Source organism: Homo sapiens, chromosome 16 (genome assembly GCF_000001405.40).
Source record: "Homo sapiens chromosome 16, GRCh38.p14 Primary Assembly".
Classification (NCBI taxonomy): Eukaryota; Metazoa; Chordata; class Mammalia; order Primates; family Hominidae; genus Homo; species Homo sapiens.
This window is the reverse complement of record NC_000016.10, coordinates 910927-936576: the sequence shown is the minus strand read 5'-3', so window position 1 is coordinate 936576 and position 25650 is coordinate 910927. Positions and strand designations below refer to the sequence as shown.

The 25650-nt window shown below is 57.3% G+C and overlaps 1 protein-coding gene and 1 long non-coding RNA gene across 9 annotated transcripts in view, besides 3 other annotated features; one reads left to right on the top strand and one right to left on the bottom strand.

Annotated features, from left to right (window-relative positions):
* LMF1 (lipase maturation factor 1) overlaps positions 1–25650 on the top strand; it is a 127980-nt gene that overhangs the window by 45037 nt on the left and 57293 nt on the right. For 4 of the 7 annotated variants that reach the window (NR_147885.2, NM_001352019.2, NM_001352020.1 and 1 more), the window contains exons 3-4: positions 2323–2333; positions 25498–25646. Coding sequence is in view for 6 of the 7 variants with exons in the window: in NM_001352019.2 (NP_001338948.1) it covers positions 2323–2333; positions 25498–25646 (160 nt within the window). In the remaining variant the exon portion in view is untranslated. Of the gene's footprint in view, positions 1–2322; positions 2388–2431; positions 2587–4783; positions 4936–25497; positions 25647–25650 lie in introns of all 7 variants that reach the window. The other 3 variants (NM_001352017.2, NM_001352018.2, NM_001352021.2) reach the window with 3 other exon arrangements.
* LMF1-AS1 (LMF1 antisense RNA 1) lies at positions 2053–15544 on the bottom strand. Of its 2 annotated transcripts, NR_110945.1 has the most exons (3): positions 15410–15544; positions 3322–3476; positions 2053–3239 (listed from the first exon to the last, which is right to left on the bottom strand). It is a non-coding gene; the product is annotated as an LMF1 antisense RNA 1 (long non-coding RNA). The 2 variants fall into 2 exon arrangements; NR_110946.1 differs by lacking the exon at positions 3322–3476.
* Positions 6617–7198: an enhancer, noted in NCBI's record as "H3K27ac-H3K4me1 hESC enhancer chr16:979379-979960 (GRCh37/hg19 assembly coordinates)". NCBI's record gives its function as "activates a minimal SCP1, AML or CMV promoter by ChIP-STARR-seq in naive H9 embryonic stem cells {active_cell/tissue: H9 hESC(naive)}" and the evidence as "EXISTENCE:reporter gene assay evidence [ECO:0000049][PMID:30033119]".
* Positions 7199–7782: an enhancer, noted in NCBI's record as "H3K27ac-H3K4me1 hESC enhancer chr16:978795-979378 (GRCh37/hg19 assembly coordinates)". NCBI's record gives its function as "activates a minimal SCP1, AML or CMV promoter by ChIP-STARR-seq in naive H9 embryonic stem cells {active_cell/tissue: H9 hESC(naive)}" and the evidence as "EXISTENCE:reporter gene assay evidence [ECO:0000049][PMID:30033119]".
* Positions 19605–20554: an enhancer, noted in NCBI's record as "H3K27ac-H3K4me1 hESC enhancer chr16:966023-966972 (GRCh37/hg19 assembly coordinates)". NCBI's record gives its function as "activates a minimal SCP1, AML or CMV promoter by ChIP-STARR-seq in naive H9 embryonic stem cells {active_cell/tissue: H9 hESC(naive)}" and the evidence as "EXISTENCE:reporter gene assay evidence [ECO:0000049][PMID:30033119]".

Here is a 25650-nt window from a genome sequence, read left to right as displayed (position 1 = left end):
CTCTCCCTCCCAGCCAGCTTCCTCAGCCCACGGGGTACCCCCTCTCTCCCAGCCTCCTTCCTGAGCCCACAGGGTGCCTCCTCTCTCTCCCAGCCACCTTCCTCAGCCCACGGGGTGCCCTCCCTCCCTCCCAGCCTCCTTCCTCAGCCCACGGGGTGCCCTCTCTCCCTCCCAGCCTGCTTCCTCAGCCCACGGGGTACCCCCTCTCTCCTAGCCTCCTTCCTCAGCCCACACGGTGCCCCCTCTCTCTCCCAGCCACCTTCCTCAGCCCACGGGGTGCCCTCTCTCCCTCCCAGCCTCCTTCCTCAGCCCACGGGGTGCCCTCTCTCCCTCCCAGCCTCCTTCCTCAGCCCACGGGGTACCCCCTCTCTCCCAGCCTCCTTCCTCAGCCCACACGGTGCCCCCTCTGTCTCCCAGCCACCTTCCTCAGCCCACGGGGTGCCCTCTCTCCCTCCCAGCCTCCTTCCTCAGCCAACGGGGTGCCCTCTCTCCCTCCCAGCCTTCTTCCTCTGGAGTGAAAAGCAAATCTAGACTTCGTACTCTTTTACCTATAAATAGTGTGGACCTCTACCGGGTAAGGGATGATTTAAAAAGATATCAGAGCCACTGGGGCAGCCACACACCTGATGCGGTTGAAGAATGAGCCCTCCAGTACTCTGTCCCCGCCCACCTCCCCCACGGCTCAGATGTCGTTTGTCATGGCCTTTGCTGTGCTTTTATCGTAATGTCAAGGTGGAAAATCACAGACATATTCAAAGGTCGGACGATGTAGGGAGCCCTGGGATGGGCAGTGGGCCCTGAGGGCCGTCCCACACCCTGTAGCTTTTCATTCCTGTGGATTTCATTAGGCAACGTTGCTCCTTAATGTCTTTAGTGAGATAGAATTCACATACCATAAAACTGCATTTAAAGCAAGCTTGTCCACACGCGGCTCAGGATGGCTTTGAATGAGACCCAACACAAATTCATAAACTTTCTTAAAACATTATGAGTTTTTTTTTTTTTAGCTCATCAGCTGTCACTAGTGTTAGTATATTTTATGTGTGGCCCAAGACAATTTTTCTTCTTCCATTGTGGCCCACGGAAGCCACAAGATTGGACAACCGACAACCCTGACATAAAGTGTACAAGTCAGCGTACATATTCATGGACTCTGAAGCCATCAGCACCACGTTGAAAACATTCTGGCTGGGGCAGTTCACACCTGTCATCCCAGCACTTAGGGAGGTGGAGGCAGGAGGATCGCCTGAGTCTAGGAGTTTGAGACCAGCCAGGGCAACATGGCAAAACCTCTATAGAAAATACAAAAATTAGTGGGGCATCATGGTGTACACCTGTGGTCCCAGCAACTCAGGAGGCTGAGGCGGGAGGACTGCTTCAGCCCAGGAGCTTGAGGTTGTAGTGAGGTTATGCACCGCTGCACTCCAACCTGGGTGATAGAATGAGACCGTGTCTCAAAAAAAAAAAAAAATTCTGATCAACCCCAGGATAAACCTGGCAATCTACCTCCTGTGTCTGTGGACCGGCCTGTTCCGTACATTTCGTGTCCACAAACCACATGCTGTGCCTTCTACGTCAGGTGTGGCACTGAGCACCTGAGGCAGGGCTCCTCATGCGGGCATTGGTGCATCCTGCCCGCCTCTTGCGGGACCATAGGTGGCAGAGGGGGTTTCTTCTAGAGCCCAAGGGTAGGTCTTGCTGTGAGGTGGGGTGGGGTTAGAGAGGTCAGAGGCTGAGGCAGGTGTGGGATGCATTGGTGTTGCTTTCCCGCGGCTCTGCCTCCTCTAGACACCCGTGCTGCTTGCCCACGCCTCTGCTGTCTGAGGGTAAGAAGCGGGTCACAGCATCACTGAAACCCCTTTTGGTTGGGATTCAATAGTAAAGACACAGGCCTTGCCCAGCCTTTCCCACCAATTCCTTTCATTTAAGATCCCTTTTCTAATGAGCTGCGCTCGAGGTCATGTGATGTCCTTAAATTTTCAGATTCCAGAGTATGACATTTGCCGTGGCATTTAATTGATGCTGCAAAAAAATAAGTATTAATTCACTCATTCGCAAAATACATATTTTTTTATTTCTATGGGTACTTAGTAGGTGTATCTTGGAATATGTTTTGGTTGCCTGTTCTGGGCCTGCCTGTGTGTGAGCCGTGGGGAGGGGCTCCTGTTCCCCTAATGCCCAGCGGGCAGGTCCTCCTCGCAGGGCTTCCCTGACCCCACACCGTGCTGGGTGCCAGGGTGGGCTTCACTCAGTGGGGAAACAGTGGGTTTTTGGTTGAAACAAGCCAAAGTGTTAATACTCGTTTCTTCTTTTGTTTTTCAGGTACTCTTTCGGTAAGTGAGATGCATTTAGAGAAAGCTCTGCGAGAGTTGAGCGTTGTGTGTTTGGTATGTATCTTCACGCACTTTTCCTGGCCTCTCCCCTTCCTTAGCCTCTGCCATCAGCCTTCCCAGTATGCACGGAGGGCAGTGATGGGCGCTTGTGATCTGATCCGTGCCTCCTCCCTGGATGTGGGAGCTCCTGGGCTTCCAGGCCCCGGGCACCTAGAGACGGATGGTCGCACGCATGATTGTCGGCATCTCACAGGTGTGATTACCACCGCTTCCCTGGGGCAGAGGGAAAGCACCCACAGGCCCATCCCCCGTGGACGCTCAAGGCTGTGTGCCCCTCGGCATAGAGAAGGTTCACGGTGCTCACGGCACTCACGCTGGTGGGCACTTTGGCTTGTGCTTTGTTTGGTGGAGGGGACCGGAGGTCTTCCCCATCCCACACAACGCAGTCAATACTGGAGGGTGGGAAGAGGGCAGCCACCCAGTGGACAGGACAGGGCCGGGAGGACGGTGGATGTGACCTCCATTGGGCCCGGAGGCCTCCAGAATGTCATGGGACACACGGTGGCTTGGTAAGCAGACCTGACTCCAGGACCTTGGGAAGGATGACCATACCCCCACCCCTGCCTTTCTCCATGACCTCAGGGCGCAGGCAGAGGGGCCGGTCTTTGCTGGTAAAGGCCCTGGCCTGGGCCTCGCACTCAGGCTCTCTCTGCCCCGAACTCTCTGGCTCTCGGCCCCTTTCCCAGGAGAGCAGGGGTGGCCTGTCTGGGCGTGGATCTTTGCCTGCCCCCTTCACAGTCTCAGCCTTCAGGGCCTGTGTCCTTGCGGTAGAGGTCACTTTCTTCATTCTTTTATTCCTCACGTATTTTCATTCCTTCAATATTGAGTACCAGTGATGCTGGAAATCTGGATCGAATCAAAGAAAGGAAGAACATCAGAATCTGTTAAAACGTAAATACAAAGGAACCTTATTCCTGATTTTAATCACCTTGAAAGGCAGGTTCCTGTAATTGCAGACGACCAGGCCACCTTGGCCACTGTCACTCATGGGTTTCCTGGCTGCTGGGTGCCACCTGGCTCGGGGTGCACCGTCAGGGCGTGCGGCTCTGCGTGCTTGCGTCTGTTCATTGTTTCCATGTTTTTCTTAAAGCAAGAAGCAAGGAATTATTTCAGGAATTCCTTTTCTGTTTGCAAATCTGACACAACCTGGTTGGAACCAGCTGGTTTTTTGCCTGCCAGTCCTGTGGCTGCATCAAGGGAGCAGAGTGCTCACGCGTGTGGGAGCGAGTAGACGTGAGGAAGCGTGTGCGGCGGCCTGAGTCCCCAGGCCTCCCCTAGAGTGCTCACGCGTGTGGGAGCGAGTAGACGTGAGGAAGCGTGTGTGGTGACCTGAGTCCCTGGGCCTCCCCCGCAGTGCGCCAGGATACATTCAGTATCAAAATGCCCACAGAGAAAACTACATTCTTCAACATTTAGATAAACAAATCTTTTCTTAGTAAATTTTATTTATTTAAAATTACAACAGGGTGGGTGCAGTGGCTTATGCCTATAATCTTAGCAGTTTGGGGGCTGAAGCAGGACCTCTTGAGCCCAGGAATTCCAGACCAGCCTGGGCAACATAGCAAGACCCTATCACCACAAAAAAAATTTTTTTAATTAAAATTGTACAATCACAACAGTATTATTTTTTCCCAGTTCTTATGAGGAGGGAAAGCTTTAGGTCCTGACACCTGTGTCTAGCGGGAGAAGTCCCTGCTGTCTGATGTTGTGGACTCTGAGCAGTGATCGCAAAATCGAGTCCGTGAGGCAAGAGCCCAGTGCGCGGGTCAGAGGGTCAGCACCGCGGGGGCTGTGAGCGGGCAGGCCGGGGCAGGCTCGGGGGGCAGCGGCTGAGGCTTGTGTGTTCCCTGTGAGAGATGGGCCTGCGAGGCCACGGTGCTGCCGTGTCTCAGCACCAGGGCCACAGGACCCATCGCTGAGGATGAGAGGGCCTGGAGCCCACCCTCCCCGTGCCCCCGCCTGTGAGGCCTCCTGGGGAACACAGGCTCTACTCTAAGTAGGGTGGGGGGGAAGTGCCTGGGGCAGTGGACTCCCAGAGGCAGTGCTGGAGCGGCAGAGGCAGTCGAGGAGCCGGGTGACTCTGGAGCCAGCCTCCCGCGTCCCCAACCACTTGCTGAAGCAAAAGCAACGGGGTCTGCATGGGGGGTGGGACGTGAGCCTGTGTGGCCGCCGTCGGGGGCTGCGCTTGCGCTCCCAGCCCAGGGAAGTCAGTCTTCTGCGTTTGTGTCTCCCTGGGTGTTTTCAGGTGAGCGTCATACATTCTAACTGATTCTTCGGTAGCAGGTGGTAATTGTAGGGACTCAGAAGCGAATTGTTGACTCATTAATGTTAATGTTTTCCGCCTGAGAGCCCTCGTGAGCCTGAGTTTCATGTTGTGTCTGACCCTGCAGCGGCTCAGCACGTCACTTTGGACTGTCGCGCAGAAATTCAGAAGACTCGTAGTAGCTTCGGCAGTGCTCTCCCTGCCTTCCGAGCAGCCATGCGTCTTTGAACTGTCTTCCCTTCCCTGATCTTGGAGAACATAGAGCTGCCAGTTACTGAGGTATGACTCCGGGTGCTGGGCCTCAGAACACCTAGACCAAAGGCACTGGAAGGTCAGGCTTCCTGATCTGAGACCTCTGGGGAGGCTCCTTTCCTGTGGCCTCGTTCGGGACGGCCTGGGAGAATGCAGTTTGTGCGTGCGTTCCTCAGCTCATCCGAGCCGCGTGTGCGTCTGTGTCCATCTCAGTGACATTCCTTGTCTTCATTTTGCACAATGGGCTTTAGTGGAGATCAGGTGGTTCAGGGCGGGGCACGGGGTCGGTCACTGGGACCCTGCGGCCCGCAAAGCAGCATCCTCAGGCAGTGCGTGCCCCGAGGCAGCAGCCAGCCGGCTCTAGGTGGGCCAGGCTTCCAGGGCCCCCACCCAGCCCGGCCACTGGGCACATGTGTTTCTAAAATTAATTAAAACTAAATGAAATAAAAAGCTCCAGTCCTTGGTTGCGTTGGCTGCACCTCATGTGCTCCGTGGCCGCATGTAGCTGTGGCTTCCCCACTGGGCGGTCCCAGACCTTTTTTTTTTTTGAGATGGAGTCTCGCTCTGTCGCCCAGGCTGGAGAGCAGTGGTGCGATCTTGGCTCACTGCAAGCTCCACCTCCTGGGTTCAAGTGATTCTCCTGCCTCAGCCTCCCGAGTAGCTGGGATTACAGGCGCCCGCCACCACGCCCGGCTAATTTTTGTATTTTTAGTAGAGATGGGATTTCACAGTGTTGGCCAGCCTGGTCTCCAACTCCTGACCTCAGGTAACCCGCCCACCTCAGCCTCCCAAAGTGCTGGGATTACAGGCATGAGCCATTGCGCCCGGCCCCAGACCATTCTCAGCCCAGCAGTCTGCAGAGGCTGCCAGTCAAAGATCCTAACATTTCACCAGCAGCAAACCCTGCCTTCTGAGGGCTCGTGGCTCGGCGTGGGCTCCCCGGGACATGCTCTCACAATGCTGTGGGTGTGAGCGGGACCCGCCTGAAAATACACACGGCTGCTCTTAGTGAAACGGCCGCTGGCCGGGAAGTCCGCACAGCCCCCGTCGCTAGTGTCTTCCTTTTTCTCAGGATGACCACACCATCCACAGAATGTTTACGTTTCTTTTCTTTTCAAGGCAGAGTCTTGCTCTGTCACCCAGGCTGGAGTGCAGTGGTGCAATCTCAGCTCCTTGACCTCCCGGGCTCAGGCGATCCTCCCGCCTCAGCCTCCCGATTAGCTGGGACTACAGGCGCACTGTCATGGCCAGCTAATTTTTAACTTTTTGTGGAGATGGGGTCCCACTGTGCTGCCCAGGCTGGTCTTTGGGTCTCCGTTCACATCTCTCTACTGTTGTAAGAGCCCCTCCAGCGAGCTCGCCTGCTGCTGTCCTGGGCTCTGTGTCCCAGGGTCCTGCGCCCCTGTTCAGACGGACGCGACTGCTGCTGTCCTGGGCTCTGTGTCCCAGGGCCCTGCACCCCTGTTCAGACGAACACGACCGCTGCTGTCCTGGGCTCTGTGTCCCAGGGTCCTGCGCCCCCGTTCAGACGGACGCCACCACTGCTGTCCTGGGCTCTGTGTCCCAGGGTCCTGCGCCCCCGTTCAGACGGACGTGACCACTGCTGTCCTGGGCTCTGTCCCAGGGCCCTGTGCCCCCGTTCACACGGACGCGACCACTGCTGTCCTGGGCTCTGTGTCCCAGGGTCCTGCGCCCCCGTTCAGACAGAGGCGACTGCTGCTGTCCTGGGCTCTGTGTCCCAGGGCCCTGTGCCCCCGTTCACACGTACACGACCACTGCTGTCCTGGGCTCTGTGTCCCAGGGCCGTGCGCCCCCGTTCACAGACGGACGTGACTGCTGAGCAGGATGAAGCTGCGTTCGTCAGGGCCGCGCTTTCCAGGACGCAGGAAAACCACAATATTTGTTAAACCCCATTCTGCCGTCTGTGTTTCTGCTGGAGTTTAGATAGAGCTGAGCTTTGAGGGCTGCTGAGTTTGGTAACATTCACTTCAAAGAAGGAGCCTGACGGTAATGAATTCCGCAGCCCCGAATGTGGCCGCTTCCTGCCGCCCTGCAGCGAGTGCACCTTTTGATATTCAGTGAGCCTGGATCTGGGAGTGTCTCGAGCTTCCAGCCGCCCTTGCGCATTGGAAAGGATGCGGGAACCCGAGAGGACCCGCAGCAGCGGGTGGCAGGGCTCCGTGGGGCTGCCTGCTTTCCCTCCAGGACCAGACCGCCTTTGCCGGCACCCTCCCGACAATGCACCGTCCCCCAAGTGTGGGCCTGACCCCCAGTTTGGCCCCATCCCCTGAGTGTGGACCCTGTCCTCCAGCGTGGTCCCCGTCCCCCATGGGGCGCCATGCCTAGCACCTGGTTCTGTATGGAGAGCGGGCTCTGGGAAGGGGCTCCCGTCTGCAGAGTTTGGTGAGGTTGAAACAGCAAAGGCCACAGCCGTTGTTCTGGGACTGAGACCAGGGCCGGTCCCCAGTGCTTCTGGAGACGCTTTCTGGCCCCTCCCAGGCCTGGGGCAGCTGGGAGGGATGGCTGGGCTTTTCAGGCGCGGGATGGGACAGCATTGTGACCCCACTGGCCGCTGAGATGTGACCAGGGGAAGGAGACACTCGTGGTGAGGGGTTCTGGAACCAGGGGCAGCCTTGTGTGAGTAGGGGGCAGAGTGCACAGGCGCCAGGGCAGGGCTTCCTCTGGCTCAGCTCCTGGGCCACTTTGCCAGGTCTTTGTGCCCAGATAGAGTCCCAGAGGAAGACCAACAGGTTCCCAAGGCCTTTGGAGTGTTTTAGGCCCCCAAAATCGTTTTGTAATTTCTTTGTGATTTTAGCCTGATGGACTTGGGTGTGTACGGGTGTCTACCTCCAGGCGATCCTACCCCCATCTTGCACCACTGGGCCCCCATGGGGGTGTAGGGATGGGCCCGTGGGGGCGTGGGGATGGGCCCGTGGGGGTGTGGGGTGGGCCCGTGGGGATGTGGGGAGGGGCTCGTGGGGGCGTGGGGATGGGCTCGTGCAGGGAACCGGGCTGTTGATGGTGACTGCCTGTGGGGAGGGGCTGGAGGCCTTTGCCCCCCTGCTCCCTCAGGGCAGTGAAGTGAGGGTGTCAGCTGGGGGCATACAGAGGAGTGAGGGTCCCAGGACCCAGGGAAGGGTTCTGGAAGTCTCCACCTTCCCAGGATATTCCTTTGTAGGAAGTGGGTTCTGTTTCTTACTACAGTCCCATCCAGGGGAGAGTTGGACAGGCCAGGGCCTGAGGGAATTTGGGGTCCTTGGAGTAAGAAACTTGGTTGATGAATGGTTGGTTTATCCTTATCTTCCACTGATGAATGATTGGTTTATCCTCATCTTCTGGAAGGCCAATGCCAGCTGGTCTGGGGCCTTCCTCCATGCTGGGCCAGGTGTCAGCGCCAACACACAGGTGGCCTGGGTCTCACTGGGATTGGACTGTGGTTATGCTGAAAACACGTGGAGGCTGGGGGGGCCCATCCACGTAGCGGGTGCGAGGAATGAATCTCAGCAGCAACGGGCGCTCCTGTGTGAGCCACGGAGGCAGGACGGCCAGGCTGTCCCAGCGTTGGGTGCCTGTGTGGGGCCGCGGCCCAGGTTTCGTTGCAGGTTGTGCTGGAATTCGGTTATTTGTCGCTACATTCGGAGGCTTTCCAAGCGTACCAGGCCCCTCCTGGGTTTTGCTGCTGTGCTCTTGCCAAGCGGGAAACTTCCCCACCTCTCAGGTCTGCTTTCTAGGCTGTCCCCGCACAGGCCAAGTGTCGCCGTGCGTGTGCGGGGCCCCAGACACTGGGCTAGGGTGTTTTCCATTGCGGCAGCACCTCCCGCCAGCCATTGTGAATTAAATGCTCCCTGTGACCCTTCACCCTTGCGGCTCTTAAATTCGTGCTTTAAAAACAGCTTAATGAGGGGTTCACTGGCCCAACTGGAAGTTTTTATTAAGCCCTATTAGTGCTGGAGCAGAGCCTGCCTGCGGGAAGCGATCGCCGGGTGAGCTCCGCCTGGGCTGCACCAGGCTCCACCAAGCAGCCCCAGTCCCCGCCCTCCTGTCCCTGCTTTAGCTGATGGCCCTTCCCTCCCCTTCCCAGCTCCCAGGGTCAGGGATGCAGTTTCTTTTAATTAAATTATTCCCTAATCAGAGGCAGCCTCCACGGCCTCTGCCGTGAGCTCGCTCAGCTGCCGGGCTGCAACCGGTAGGCCGAGCCAGCTCCTCTCTGGGTCCTTTCTCTTGCATTCCTGTGTTGATTTAATTGCACGGCCCCTCCCTGGGGGAGAAGCATCCTGTAGAGCGTGGTTCCAGAGGGTTCCCTCAAACCGGGAGGCAGAGCCCTTCCCTGTCACCTGGGGCGTGAATGACTGTGGTCCTGCGTGTCTCTGGTCTCAGTGTCTGGTCGTGTTCTTCATAGGAAGGACAGGGAAGCCCACTTGGGTGACTTTTAGAGCCCGCCACGTGACATGGGCTAGCTGTGAGCCATCTCCACGGGCCATTTCCAAGGTGAGAAAGGGCTCTTGAGCAGCTTCTGCCACTTCCTCACCATGAGCGGCCCTTGGTTGGCCATGAGAGAAGGAGAGGCTGCCCTCAGACTCGGCTCCATCTCTGGAGGCCTCTGGGCCTGAGTCTCCGCCTGGGTGCAGTGGCCCTTCTGGACCCTCCAGTGCTCTCCACTGGGGTCTCGGGGTGTTTCTTGGCTCCAGGAGTGGTGTTCTCGCCTGGTGGCTTCTCTGTCACTACTTGCCAGGCTGTCTTCTTGGGCCACAGGGACCCCAGCATAGGCCCGGGGTGCCGTCCAGGGAGGACTCCTATGGCTAGAAGGGGAGGACTCACAGAGAGGAGAGGTGGCAAATGGGGACCCGGGGAGCAGCTGACATCCTGGCTGTGACCTGCAGGGTCCCTTGGGTCCTGCATGCAGCCAGCACAGTGAAGGAGGAGAGGAAGCCTCTGGGTGGATGCCGGGACCCCTTAGGGTGTGGGCCGTGGTGCCGGGTTCCACCTTCTTCACACATGTGCGTGCGCAGCTTTGGTGGCGCTTGTTTTTAGGGTAGTCTTCTTTGGTGGCGCTTGTTTTGAGGGTAGTCTTTTTTCATCTAATTTACATCCACCCCGTGTTAACCTCCCGGTTCCGTCCATTCTTATCTTCATGCCAACTCAGATTTGTACCCAAACACAGACGTGCAAACACACGTGCGCACATGCGCACACACAGACACACGTATGCAGATCCTGTGCAAACACACGAGCACACATGGACATACACAGATGCATATGCAGATCATACGCAAACTACACACATGACACAATGCAGATCATATGCAAGCACGTGCACACATGCGCACAGACCTGCAGATCTTATGCAAACACGCACATACATGCACACAGACACGTATGCAGATCATATGCAAACAGGTGCATGCATGCACACACAGACATACGTATGCAGATCATATGCAAACGTGCACACGCGCACACAGACCCACGTATGCAGATCATATGCAAATGTGTGCACACGCGTATGCACATATGCAAACACAGGTGCACGCATGCACACACAGACATATTCAGATCATATGCAAACGTGCACACATGGGCATACAGACCCACCTATGCAGATTATATGCAAACGTGTGCACACATGCGCACACAGGTATGCAGACCATATGCAAGCACACATGCATGCATGCATACAGACACGTATGCAGATCATATGCAAACGTGCACACGTGCACACACAGACACATATGCAGATCATATGCAAACACGTGCACATGCACACAGACACACATGCAGATGCACATACAGGATTTAGGGGTAAATGTTTGCTTTACTCAAACAGGGCCATATTAGATACATTTCTTTCATTCCCTTTTTTTCACTTACTAATATCTGGTGAAAATTACTAAGTTGAACCTAGAAGAAAAGCATATATATATAGTTTTTCTTCAGAGACAGGGCCTTGCTCATTTGTCCAAGCTGGACTGCACTGGCACAATCACGGCTCATTGCAGCCTCGACCTCCGCAGACTCAAGTGATCCTCCCACCTCAGCCTCCCAAGTAGCTAGGACCACAGGCATGAACCACCACACCCGATTAATTTTTTTATTTTCTTTTTTATAGTGACAGGGTCTTGCTATGTTGTCCAGGCTGGTCTTGAACTCCTAGGCTCAAACTGTCCTCCTCTCTTGACCTCCCAAAGTGCTTTAGGGGATTACAGGCATGAGCCACCACGCCCTCCCAGAAAATAGATTTTAAAGGCCATTTTGTCTCATTCACACGATCATTAACATTTTGTTGGTTTTGAATTTCTCCCATCACGTTGTTAGCCATTTCTGTTTTAAAAAATTCTCTTTACTATGCAGAATTCTAAACTACTGAAGAAGTGTTTTGTTGCTGTGATTCATACTTCCAGTGCTGAATCCACTTGAGTGGCTTTAATCTAGAATCTTCAACGTGGCTTTTTAATTGTTTTTAACTGTATGGATGCAGGATGTTTGGTGGCATCTGCTCTTCATTCCTAGTGGATTAGTGACAGTGACAGTGAGCAAGGGGCTTCCTGTGTGGCTGAAGAGGGCGGTTTCGTCACCACCCATTCCGCAGGGGGCAGCTCAGCCCAGCAGGCATTTGGGGACTCGCACCCAGCACTCTGCGGACGGGGGTCTGACTGCACCCGCTCCTCCCCTCCACCCCCCGCTGCCGGCTGGAGGGCACAGTCTGTGCGGTGGCCTTGCCACCCCCTAGCAGGTCTGCATCCGTTCTCCCGCCTGGGCCTCAATACTTGTTTCCTCCTTTTCCTCACTCTCCCTTGCCTAAACCGCCATAGATCATCCCCTTTATGGGTCTTTTCAAAGAGCTGGTTTTATCTATCAGAATTTTAAAATATACTCTAGCTCATTCGTTTTTGCCTCTTGTAGTTGCTTGCTTTTTCTGGGAGAAAGTGGTTTATCATTTCCAGTGCCTGGAGTTGGTTCAGCTATTTTCTGTCTCTTCTTCTCTGCTAATGAAAGCCAACTGGAGGGCGGCTACCCACTTCTGGGTATGTCCCTGCCCTACCCTGTCATCTGAGACCCCCGGCTGCCCCTGACAGTGGCCGATGGTGTGGTTTTATAACCTTCAGCGCTAATGCCTCTAGACCAAGGACAGCCTGGAGAAATGCTTCGAAAATGCCACATGCTCAGGGTTTTACAGGTGGCCTTTTGTTTCTCAACTTTGATTTTATTACACTGTGGCCAGTGTGGCCTGAAGATTGTTCTTTTAATTATTAAAAAAAAATGGGCATGTGCATGAATAGTCAAATTGTATTACACGACTTATAATAAAAACAGAAGCCCTTGCCGTACCACTTCTCAGCCACATGCTGTTCTCCAGACAACCCTTTTATCACTTCCTGCACTTAACTCTGGTATTTGTCTGTCTTTCTGACTGATAGGTTTATATGGGTTATTCTTCGCATACCACGGTTAGACACTGTGTATACATGTCCTCTTATGAACGACAGGGATTGCCCTCACACACCCTAATGTTCTTCTCATCATCATCAGTATAGCTGTGTCACAAGTATAATTTTTATTAGTTTGATTGTCTTTACATTATTTTGACTCTGTAAATATTGTGACTGCTGAGCCAAATAGTGAACTATAGTAACTTTTTTTCTAATAACTCTTCATTTTTCCTGGAGTTCATAGTTGCCTTTTCTATTTTGATTGGCTTCGTTTTTCATCTCTGATCATATCTCACTCATTTGTTCCAACTTTACCAGCACAACTGGTCAACCCTTTCCAATACTGTTGTTTTTACAGAATCAAACACATTGGACAATCCATCAGTTTTTTCTCTCCACTTTGTGAAGATTTCCGCTCAGGACCTCATTGTTACTGCTTGGAGCAGATGCTTTGTAGGCCTCTGGATTTGGAGATTGTGGGGCAGGTTAACTCTGCCAGATTGGGGGCCACTGATGAGTTTGTCCCTCTGCCCATTCCAGGGATCCTAAGATGGTTCCCAGGAGCAGGTGACCTCATTGTATTGAGGGTAAGGCTCAGAGTCCACAGCCCCTCCTCCACGTCCTTCTAAAGCAGTGCTCTTAGGGAGGATTTCTCTTTTTTAGAGCTGGGATCTTGCTCTGTTGCTCAGGCTAGTCTCAACCTACTGGGCTCAAGCTGTGCTGCCACCTCAGCCTCCTGAGTAGCCGGGACTATTGGCTTCCCTGAGAAGCCTGATGCTTTAGTGGGGAAGGTGTTTAGAGACCAAGACGTGGGTGCTGGGGTGCCCGTTACTACTGGGGTGCTGCAGCTTCTCAGCCCCTCAGCCGGCAGAGTTAGGAAATACATGGCTGTTCAGGAAGCCACGCAATGGGGAGGAATGAACTGTGGACAGCTGGGGACCCTCGTAGGCCACAGTGCACCGTGCCAGTGTTAGCAGCTGCCACATCCGCCCCACACTCCTTGCCCCTGCTGTTTTGCCATGACGCAGATCCCAGGCATCACATTCCTGCATTTGGAAATGCCTCCTCGTACACCTGAAGACAGGCCTTTGCAACAACACGACGCCAACACCACATCACACCCGAAAACCCAGGCGACTTTCACACAGGGCCTTCGCAACAACACGACACCAACACCACATCACACCCGAAAACCCAGGCGACCTTCACACAGGGCCTTCGCAACAACACGACACCAACACCACATCACACCCGAAAACCCAGGCGACCTTCACACAGGGCCTTCGCAACAACACGACACCAACACCACATCACACCCGAAAACCCCGGCGACTTTCACACAGGGCCTTCGCAACAACACGACACCAACACCACATCACACCCGAAAACCGAGGCGACTTTCACACAGGGCCTTCGCAACAACACGACGCCAACACCACATCACACCCGAAAACCCAGGCGACTTTCACACAGGGCCTTCGCAACAACACGACGCCAACACCACATCACACCCGAAAACCCAGGCGACTTTCACACAGGGCCTTCGCAACAACACGACACCAATACCACATCACACCCGAAAACCCAGGCGACTTTCACACAGGGCCTTCGCAACAACACGCACCAACACCACATCACACCAGAAAACCGAGGCGACTTTCAGACAGGGCCTTCGCAACAACACGACACCAACACCACATCACACCCAAAAACCGAGGCGACTTTCTTCACGTCCATGTTAGTAATGCCTTTTCTCAGCTGTTTGTCCACACAAGGGCTGGCCACGTTAGGTGGACGCCCGTGTGCTGTCTCCCTGCTTCAGGTCCTGCTGGATCAGTTCCCCAGTGGCCGCTCTGCCTGCCATTCTGCCTACCTGGCTACCAGTCGCTGTGGGCTGGGGGTGAGAGCTCACAGCTGGATCAGAACCCCCTCTGTGGCCCCCCTCGGGAGGTGGCTGCCTTCTCCCACCTTGCATCGGAGGCGAGATTGTGCAGGGACCAGAGGCTGCCCTGGTCTGCCTGTGAGAAAGCCCCTGGGTGGTTGCTGCCAAGGAGCATGGCTGGGCCTGCGAGACAGGGTGCCCCGATCTGCCTGGAAGTTTTCTGTCCAGGCCGCCCTCCCTCATCGCCTCTGTCCCGTGTTGGCTGCTTGGAATGCGTCTCTCTGGACCTCATCTGGGATAAACAGCTGCTTCTCTCCCCTTACTCCTCAGCTGTGGGGGAACGCTGGTTTCCAGGCCCACTCACAGGATTTTTAATGTTCCGCCCAGACCTTGCTAACACCTCTCAGCGGCTAAGCCTATTTCTGTAGATTCTCTTACTTATGTTTTGTTTTTAAATTTTCTATGTAGTCAATCTTTTTTACATTTCAAACCTTTTAACCTTTGTTTTTCTCCTAAGAATTGTATAGTAAAACCCGCACGGGGACCGCCTGGATGCCGTAGGTTCTGTTCACGGGGTTTGCTGCGTTGTTACGTAGTGGGTCTCCTCGCCCGTGTCCCCCGTCCCTGCGTCGGTGCTTCAGCGCACATCAGGGTGGGGCTGGTGTCAATGCTTCCCACATCATTAGCTGGAACTCACCGCACACTGCGTCTTTCCCTCCATAAAGAACTTGCACGAGCCCCATCAAGGTATAGGGAGTGGCCGTCACCCCAGAAAGTCCCGTCATCCCCACTCGTCACCGCCCGCATTTGTACAGAGATACAGCTGTCTTGTTCTAAGGGCGAGTCCCTGTGAGAACGCGTGGAGCGTTTTGTCCCTGCCCCCACACACTCCGCCGGGGGGTTTGGCTTTGTGCCGGTGCCTGGCTGGCGGGTGAACTTTCCACAGGGCCTGCCTTGTCCACGTCTCTGCAGGGAGCGCAGGTCCGTGTGCCCACCCAGGAGGTCTTGGACCCAGCAGCCCCTCAAGAAGGGCTATGGCGACTGTTCACCGCAGGAGGGCTCTGCGCTGTCTGAAAAGGGGAACAGAATGCCCCAGTGGAAGCAGATTTGCAGGTGATATTAGGGAAGCTTCCTCCTGCCTTCTACTTACCTGGACTTCTTATCCTCCAAGGCGCTTGACTCACAGTCTTACCTCCTTGAGTTGCCTCCAGAAGAAAATGGTCTTTGTTTTACTGAGTTCCTTCTAAGCGCAGTCTGTGATGGGGCCCGTTCTGTCCTGTCCTCGCCCTGCTGAGCACTGAGACAGAGACCCAGGCGACCTGCTGACCGAGGCCAGCTCACGAGCCTGCTCTGGGCCACGTGGTGCCGAGTTGCTTCCTCCTTCAGGCTCTGATGACACTGAAGCTCCCCGGGGAGAACAGCGGTGTCCTTTGCTGCTGGAGATGCCTGCAGATGCTTGCTCTGGGCATGCAGGGGCCCCTGGGGAAGGATCCGCGCCTGGCTCCCTCTCTCCATCTGTCCCTCGTTTTGGACGGGAAGTCGACTATCATTCCTGACGTTCCAGTGTAACGTGTTATGTTTCTCTGATGGCTTTGGGGATTTTATCTTCCGTTGCCAGTTTCTTGACTATGATATGCCTACTTTTTACCAAATTTGGATAATTTTTGCCAATATTTGGGGGGGTTGCCCCATGTTCTTTCTCCTCTCCTGTGGCTCCACGGACATGGACATCAGGCCTCTCCCTGCCTTCCACGAGCTCCTGGGCCCTGTGCTTCTGTGTGGTGTTTTCTAAAAGCCTCTCATCTCTAGAATGAGTCACTGTGGCTGCTATGTCTTCGTGTTCACTGCCTTTTCTTTCGTTCTTCACTCTGCTGCTGAGCTCAGCCAGGGGCATTTGTGCTCTGGAGATTTTAGTTCTTGCTCTGGAGTGGGCCTGGCCTTCCTCCGAGGCTCTGTGTCTCTGCTCAGCTCTCCAGCCCGCCTGCCTGGCAAGCACGTTTTCCTGTGCTTTCCGGTCCTGATGCTTTCCTGCGTCCGTGTGGAGCCAGCGCTTGGGGTGTGGTGTGTAGAGAGGGGAATGTGGACATGCAGTGCGTGCTGTGGGGGCTGACGGGCTGGGGCCGGTGTGGATGTCGTGTCGGGGGCCGAGCCAACGGGCCAGGGCCAGTGTGGATGTCATGTTGGGGGACGACGGACTAGGGCCAGTGTGAATGTCTTGTTGGGGGCCCAGCTGACGGGCCAGGGCTGGTGTGGATGTCCTGTTGGGAGCCGACAGGCTGGGGCCATTGTGGATGTCGTGTTGGGGGCTAAGCCGACGGGCCAGGGCCGGTGCAGATGTTGTGCTGGGGGCCGACAGGCTGGGGCCAGTGTGGATGTCCTGTCCAGCAAGGCCCTGGAGGTGGTGTCCGGGCAGTCTTGACCGAGGCCGGAAGGATGGTGCCGGGGGCAGGAGCCTGACTGCCTCGGAGGAAGGGGGTCCCGGGGCGGAGCTGTGGGGTGGGGAGCCCATTGTGGATGCTGGCTGCTTCACCCTCACCCCCACGTTCTGTCTGTGGGTCTCCGTGAGGCTCCTCCCAGGGCGGCCCTGCCACATGATGTAGCTGAAACCCAGTCCTCTCTGCACACCAGTGTTTCTAGGAAAACACTTCCTGTCTTTCTCCCCAAGACCTCCAGGACGTGGGCCTGAGGTCATCACTGCCTCCTTCAGTTGCTGCTGCCCGAGGCCCCCAAGAGTGACCCACATGAGACTGCGGTCCAGACGCCCTCCCTGCCTCTGAGGGCGCACACTGTCCAGAGCGGGTCTGTGGGTGGAATGCCCCCAGCGGCCTCCGGGCCCCTTGTCTGTGGGGCCTGTGCCCTGGTGCTGCCGGCACTGCTGTCCTCACGCGAGCGCTGGAGATATGAGCTTTCCCAGGGGGGCTCAGCAGTGATGAAGGTGGGGCAGGAGCTGTGTGTGTCCACCATAGGTCCTGACAGAGATGAAGCAGAGGCCACAGGGCTGCCCTGCCCCCTGCCGCGGGCATGTGGGGTGATTCCCGCCCACTTCTCAGGTGTGCCAACCCCCACGTTCCTTCCCTGTGAGTGTGTGAGCTCACATAGCCCCTGGACACACCACCCTCCACGTGGGGTGGATCGTGCCTGTTGGCCACACTGAGCACACCTGGAAACGCCGACTGCCGAGTGTCAGGGGAGGGTCTGGAAAAGCCGCGAGTGAAAACAGACTGTCCCCCGAGACTGTGTGGTGAGGGGAACACCTGATTCTGCAGCCTGGGAGTCCACGCCGACATGCCGACTGCCCACACAGGTGTCACAGCAGGGATGTGGATGCTACTGTGCTGTGCGGGCTCCAGCCCAGGAGGCCCCGTGGGAGGAGCAGGTGCCGAGAGCTCGTCCCACCGCTACTCGGGAGTGAGACCCACATCCCACAGGTGTCTCTGAGCAGGCGCCCACCCCAGGACTGGCTGAGAGTCAGGGTGCACCCCAGGGCACTGGCCCCACGTGAGAGTCGGGGTGCGCCCCGGGATGCCGGCCCCGCGTGAGAGTCGGGGTGCGCCCCGGGACGTCGGCCCCGCGTGGTCACTTAAATTCACATCCAAGTGAACCAAAGTTAAATGTGATTTAAAATGTGCTTCTCAGCCACGCAGGCTGCCTTTGAGTGCCTCAAGGCCTGAAGGGCCGGGGCCCTTGAGGCACACCCCGTGACCCAGGACAGCTCCGTGGGCACAACGTCCCCGCAGCCCACGATGGCCAGCACTTTTCTGGGGTCTCATGAGTCCCTTGGAGGCTCGGCACACTTCAGCCATTTTTCATGCCCGGGACACAAAAGACAAAGAAATGGTCAGGTGTGGTGCCCACCAGCCTGACTTAGGTGAAATACTTGGAACACATTAATCCTAAACACTCTTTGCCGCGAAGTCTAATTTCCGTGGACGGGAAGCATTTTCGTATTTATCCAAAACCAATAAAGATAGCTAAGGTCATTACTGCGGATTTGTTTCCCAAGAGCTGGTGACACCTGCACAGAGCTGAGCCACAGGGACACCTGGGGCTAGGAAGTCTGGTTGTCACGGCAACCAAGTACGAACAAGCCGCGCGGCCGGGCGCAGGGGTCACTGAGGCCACTTCCTGTTTCTCGGCAGCGCCCACGGACAGCCTTAAAATATGTAACAGTCCACGAAATTCCTCATAACTGAGAGCGTGCAGTTAACGTAATTTTATCTAAAGCACGAAAGCCCTTAACCAGCACTTTCAGAGATGTCTGGTTACTAGAAAATGCCCTCCCATTTGCCATCTGATCTCTGGTTTAACCCAGCCAGCCGCCCCGCGCCACGTCCCGACGCCATGTCCCCAGCTCTGCACCTGTATGTCTTGCGGGCAGCAGAAGGGCGGCCCTCCTGTGAAACGTCCTCAGGACGTGAGACATGGCCAGCGGGCAGACGCAGCTGTGAAGCTCAGGCCGGTTCTGGAGGTTCCTGTGCAGAGCTTGGCTCTGGGTGACCACAGGCCAGGGAGCTGCAGTCCACTCCAGACACAGCCTGGTCAATCCCAGAGGAGGGAAGGAGCCCACGGTCAGGAGGAGGCCGGGGGTGCCGGGCGAGCACAGCAGTACTCCTGTCCCCTGGGACACCTCTGGGGTGGGGCTGACATCAGGACCTCCCAGCACCCCTGCAAACAGCCCCGGTACGGGGGCAGGCATGTCTCTTAGGGGAGGGCAGCCCTGCCTGGTCATCTCCAGTGAGCCGGAGGGGTCAGCGGGCCTGGACAAGCCCCTAGAACGGCACCTGCCCGCAGCACACACGTGTGGCATTTCTTCACGTGGGCCTGCGCCCGCCCACAGCGCACACGTGTGGCATTTCTTCACGTGGGCCTGCGCCCGCCCGCAGCGCACACGTGTGGCATTTCTTCACGTGGGCCTGCGCCCGCCCGCAGCGCACACGTGTGGCATTTCTTCACGTGGGCCTGCGCCCGCCCGCAGCGCACACGTGTGGCATTTCTTCACGTGGGCCTGCGCCCACCCGCAGTGCACACATGTGGCATTTCTTCACGTGGGCCTGTGCCCGCCCGCAGTGCACACGTGTGGCATTTCTTCACGTGGGCCTGCGCAGCATGTGCTCTGCGTGGCCACACCATGGCTGTGTGTTGCCCATGTGCTTGGGGGAGGTGAGATGGTGGTGACCCGTCCCCCATGGTACCGGCATGAGAGTGGCTTTGGGCCTGGTTCCCCACAGGATTGCTTCTGTGTGCTGGGCTGCAGATGGCCCCATACACGTGACTTTAGCTCTGCCTTCAAGATGAGTTTGCAGCATGGCAGCCCCTGGGTGGCGTCTCCATCCCCGACGCTGAGCAGTACTCATGCTCTCAGAGCTCGCTGCGCAGAGAAATAGCCGTAACAGACCCGGAGCTCAATATTCAGGGGATCCCAGAGCTGGCTGTGCAGAGCAATGGCCATAACAGACCCGGAGCTCAACACTCAGAGGATCTGCGAGGGGACACCCGGGAGGTGGCTAGTTGCCAGGAGAGGGGTGTTCCTGACATACCTTCATTTGCTGCCAGGGAGCCAACGAGGCATCCCAAGGCCGCAGGCCTCAGTGGCAGAGCCTGCACTTGTCCCTCTGAAGCTTTTTCAAACATGGTCACAAAAGATGTTTTCCCCGTGGCCAGAGACATGGAGAAGTGGGGTCTGGGGCTCTGCATGTGGGCGGATCACAGACAAGGCCACCTGGTGTCCCGGGGCCATGTGGGTGTGGCCTACCAGTGCCCAGCCCCGCCACTGGCGCGCAGCGAGAGCCGAACTCCCCAGCCCCCATCATCCAGCCCCAGGGGCGTCTGTAGCCCACAGCCCCTGTTCCGTGATAGTGCAAAGTAAGATTTGCAGTGCTATTTCATAACTTTTCAGCTTAAAATATAACCTGTAAAAATGAAGGAAACTTTTAAAAGCTCCCAGCTCTCTCTGGGGCCGCCATTAGAAGCCCCTGGGGTGGCAGAGGGCGGCCCGGCGCAGAGCTGAGTGACAGGCAGTCAAGATGGAAGCGCTTTGCTCCCTCGTCCCCGATTTTAACAGCGAACTTAATGGATTTCCTGTTTCTAACGTGGATGGTGGCTGTCATTTTTGAAGGATCCATCTGTGCTATATTTAATGACTCTCCCTAAGTAACTAAAATAGTTTCCACAGAGTTAATGAGGCCTCAGCTGGCGTTCTCTCCTACAGTGGCCATTGCAATGACTTGCACCTCCAAAGCGTTGTGTTAAATCACGTTTCTTCCTTGGTCAGAGGCGGCTCAGCCCACAACCCACTGGCCCCTCATCCCTCCCTTTGCCGGAGGCTACCCCGTGTCCCTCCCTGTGTCCTGAGGGCTGCCCCCACCCTGCACACCTTCTGCACCCTCCGAGCCTCTGCCCCTCACTGGTGGCCAGGCAGCGCCTGGGTGTCACCTGCCCCAGCTGCTGAGTCTCACCTGCCCCAGGCCCCCAAGTCTCACCTGCTCCGGCCCCCGCGTCCCACGTGCTCCGGCCCCTGCATCTCACCTGCTCCGGCCCCCGGTGATGGTGCTCATCTCACCCGCCTGAGGCACCGCAGTCGCCCCACCCTGCGTGTCTCTCGTCCCACACGGCTGCTGGCCTCCAGGACTTCCGTCCGGAAAACCCCATCTCAGGCTCCACCCCAGCACTCTGCCTGGCCAGCACTGCACCCTGTCCCTAGGCTGGCCTGGGACCCTCCATCCTCTGACTGGGGTCGCCAAGGCTGGTGGTGCATGAGTGTGCTGCCGGCTGCCCAGCCCAGCCCAGAGCAGCCGCCAGGTGCCCCTCCACATGTTCCCACATGCCCCAGGCCGCCAGGCGCAGATCTCGCCTCTTGGTGGAGAATCTTCTGGTTCTTCAGTGGCAGAGGGTCCCTCCTCAACCTCTGATTCCCATAAATAGAAAAGAAAGGTGAGCACGCACCTCTGCCTGGGTTTTATTTGGGGAGCAGGTGCCTAGGAGCTTGGCTGCGGAGTGAGGGACCCCGGCCGTTGTGAGGATGAAGAGGGCTCTCCGCACCACCCTGTGGTCTCTGCCTGCCCTCTGCCCCCATCCTGTGCCTGGCTCCTCTGGTGTTTCAGACCCATCCATACCCATGCCTCACACCTATGCACACAGGGCCTGCCCAGCCTGAATGTCCCCAGAGTCATCCCTTGGTCGCCCCTTGGCTCTGCAGAGGCGGATCTAGGGTGAGTTTTTCTTTAGCTGTTTTTAAATCAGTGGTATTAAAACAAGTAGCCCAGGACCCTGCCATCTAGGAAGCGAGCACGAGATGGTGAAAACCCTACAAGCCCTCAGGCCTCGGGGGATGCCCCTCCTGGGCCAGCCGAGCAGGCAGCAGCGAGGCCGGAGTCCTTAGAGACGCCGATTTAGGGCTGAGAGCTGTGTGGCCCTCTGCGTCAGTCACTACGGAACATTACTGATTAGCACTCGGATATTTAGTTCAGAGAAACCACGTTTCCATCTGATTCCAAGGCAGTAAAATTTTGTCACCAATGGTCATGGGAGAGAGGGAGATGGTCATGGGAAGGGAGGGAGGGAGTGTGTCACCAGTGGTCATGGGAAGGGAGGGAGGGAGGGAATGTGTCACCAATAGTCATGGGGAGGGAGGGAGAGTGTCACCAATGGTCGTGGGAGGGAGTGTGTCACCAATGGTCATGGGAGGGAGGGAGTGTGTCACCAATGGTCATGAGGAGGGAGGGAGTGTGTCACCAATGGTCATGGGGAGGGAGGGAGTGTGTCACCAGTGGTCATGGGAAGGGAGGGAAAGAGGGAGTGTGTCACCAGTGGTCATGGGAAGGAGGGAGGGAGTGTGTCACCAATGGTCATGGAAGGGAGGGAGGGAGCGTGTCTGGTTTTGCACTTGGAGAGCTGGAGCGATCACGGGGCTCAGGGCCCACAGCGGTGTGCGTTCTCTCGTGGACCCTACGAGTGAGCATCCGGTCTGTGTCCTGCAGAGCAGGAAGGTCGGGTGTGGGGAGCCTCCCCGGGTCTTGGCCTGCCCAGCCTTCTCCCCATTTGGGTCAGGGCTGTCTTCACAGGGTGCTGGAAGGGTTTGTACTGAAGCAACCTGCAGTCCCCCTTCAACGTGGAGACGTTTGCTCCCCTCCCAGGAGGGGTCAGGGACTGCCCAGGTTGCAGTGGTGGAGATGTTATCTCCCCTCCTAGGAGGGGTCGGGGTGGCCCAGGTTGCAGTGGTGGGGATGTCCCTGTCCCCAGGGCTCAGCATCTCGTAGGGCCTCAGAAGACCGTGCGTGTAGCTGCAGCCGCCCAGGCCTCGCGGCCCATCAACAATGGTGAGAACTGATTCCAAAGTCTAGAGCTCTGGGAAGCCACTCCAAGAGGCGCCATGTGGCATTCGCCATTGTCTGCAGATTTTCTCTTCCGAGTATTTCATCTTAAATTTCCATTATAAACCGAGGCGTCAGAATCCCTGTCGGGGTGTCGGGGGCCTGCAGGTCTGGCCCTGGCCTCGCCATGTGCCTCGGGCTGCCCCATGGCGAAGCCTCTCTTCTGTGTGCCCCACGCCTCCGGTGGCTGCAGACCTGACATCCAGAGCCTTCAAACCCTAAACTGTCTCCAGCAAGGCAGTTATGAGGCTGCGTCCTTGTTTCTGCCTTTTCTGATGCCCCGAGACGCCTGTGAATGGCACAGTACAGTTACCTGCAGCGCTGGCTGGGCCTGCAGGCCACAGGCTCCTGCCTTGGGCACCAGCCTGGCTGTGGATCTGCATGAATCCTGAGGGGGAGGGCAGCTGAGAAGCACCAGTGCCCAGCTGTGCCTGGGTGCTGGGGCACCTGCATTTCCTCCGCACCAGCATCGGGGCATCCAGCCGGCAATGAGCCATTAACATGGGTGCACCGGGCGAGGCGCCAGGGCAGGAGTTGGGTGTCGCACCCTGTCCAGCGGGCAGGGCTCAGGAGCATCTCCCTGGACCGTGCACATGCAGCTTCTCCGCTGATTGGGCCAACGCTGTCTGTGTCGCAGGAAGGAGAGCAGCGGCCGTGGAAGTGAATGTTCCCCACAAGAGCTACTGCCCCGTTACCCAGGCAGAACGCGTCAGGCTCCTCACAGGGTGTGCTCAGTCTCCCGGAAGGCCCAGCACAGCACGAGGTGGAAACGACGCCGGAGCCGTGGAGTGGAGCAGGGGCCCTCCCGGAGCCGTCCCCCTGGCTAAAGGGAAGGGAGGTCCCTGGGGAAGAGCAGGGCGTGCAGATGCTGGCGCCCAGCAGGCAGCGCGTGCAGCTGCGCAACGGGAAAGGCACTGAGGCGGGGGCGAGGACGGCTCCTCTCCCCGGCAGTGGCAGCGTGTGCTGTGGCCCTGCGTGTTGCCGCCTCGTTCGGGTGCCTGGGGCTCGCTTCAGGCAGCGCTGGTGTTTGCTGGGTGAGAGCTGTCTGGAGAGCCCTGGCCCTGACCTTGGCGCTGAGGCCGCCCTGGCAGCGTGCTGCTTATTGACTTTCCTGGGGACGCGTTGTCCGCCACGCTGAGGCGGAGAACAATGGCAGCCCTTGTGCACGCCGCGCAGCTGCTGGAATTCCTCAAGACCCAAGCAAAGAAAACAGAAGCAGGTGGGCCCAGGGCAACCCTTTTCTTCCCAGGGTGTCCGCAAGGCCCAGCCAGCCAGGCGGCTCTGGCTTCCGTGGGGAAGATGGGGCCCAGCGAGCCTGGGGCGTGAGCGAGGTGGAGGGGGTCCCGCTGAGAGACCAGCAGGCGTCAGCTTGGCAGCCTGTGCCCTCCATAAGCCGGGGCAGCATAAGGACTGACCGTCTGTCCATTCAGAGACCAGGGTCGCGCTGCCTCCACTCACGCCGATCTGCTTATTCAGTAATTGGCGCACATCAGTGTGGACTTGCAGGCGTTTATTTTGTACTTTGGGTTACAGTCCAGTGCTGCTGTAGCAGCCTCTTCACGGGCTTTTGACTTTACCGTAGTATCTCAGGTAGAGATGAGTTGCACCAATGGTTGGAGGAAGCTCCCCGCGAGCCTCCGTCTGCTTCCCCTCTGCACTCTCCCGTCCTCTCTGTGGCAGGTAGACACTGCCCCCACAAGCCTCCGTCCGCTTCCCCTCCGCACTCTCCCATCTGCTCTGTGGTGTGTAGATGCTGCCCCTGCGAGTCTCTGTCTGCATCCCCTCCGCACTCTCCCATCCGCTCTGTGGCGCATAGACACTGTGGTGGTGTGAGTCATGTGATCGTTGTCATGCTGGGCAGCGGGTGGCCTCTGTCCCATCCAGCATCCTCAGAGCCCAGGAGGGAGCCCGGCCTGTGGGGTCTCTGGGGCCCTGGGATGTGACCTTCCATTGACAGACGCGAGCTGTGGGCAGTTTCCAGCAGCCACATTCACGGTGGCCTCACCTCTGAGAATAGCACTGGAATGGCGACCCGCATCCGCATTCTTATGCTGGGTTTCCAGTGCGAAGAATCCGTTGGGCCCCCACGTGTCCCCCGCATCCAGTGGCGGAGCTGCTGCCTTATCCTGGGACTGCGAGGGGCTGACCGGTGTTGGTTCCGTGTGGACCCACCATGACCTGCCTCTGCATCCTTGCCTGGCTTCCATGCCCATCTGGGAAGGACAGGGCCAGAGGGAGACACTGCCTCACATGGAGGCTGGGCTGCCTCCCCAGTGCTGCCTCCCCAGTGCTGCTCCCCCAGTGCTGCTCCCCCAGTGCTGCCCCCCCAGTGCTGCCCCCCCATTGCTGCCTCCCCAGTGCTGCCCCCCCAAGTGCTGCCCCCCCAGTGCTGCCCCCCCAGTGCTGCCCCCCCAGTGCTGCCTCCCCCAAGTGCTGCCCCCCCAGTGCTGCCCCCCCAGTGCTGCCTCCCCAGTGCTGCCTCCCCATGCTGTTTCTGGGCTGGGAAGAAGGTGAAAGCTGTTTTCATGCAAACCTATGGGAGGGGAAAAGCTTCCCCCAAAGTCTGCCGGCAGCATGTGTGCAGGGCGCATTCTCAGATGTCAGGTCCGTGCAGCGTCCTGCAGGGTGGCAGGTGGCGGACCTCAGAGCGGGGCCTTTCCCTCCAGGGCGAAGGGTGCCGAGGTCACAGGAAGTCCCGACCTAGGCCCTGGGTCCCACGCCAGAGCTCCCACTCCTGCAGACCTGACCTTGCGTGTCGATGTTGAGACTAATACGTGCGGGCTGGTGTCTCTCAGTAGCAAGATCAGCCCTGTCTCAAGGACCGTTTCCATTAAACTGAGTTTCTGAAATGATTTCTTTGTGAAATGTGTGGCTTCCATTAACTCACCTTTGGTATGTCTCGTTGTTTTAGGATGGGAGTCCCAGCTTCTGGAGACGGGGTTCCTGGGGATCTTCCTGTGCCCTCTGTGGACGCTGTCAAGGCTGCCCCAGCATACCCCCACATCCCGGATTGTCCTGTGGGGCTTCCGGTGGCTGATCTTCAGGATCATGCTTGGAGCAGTAA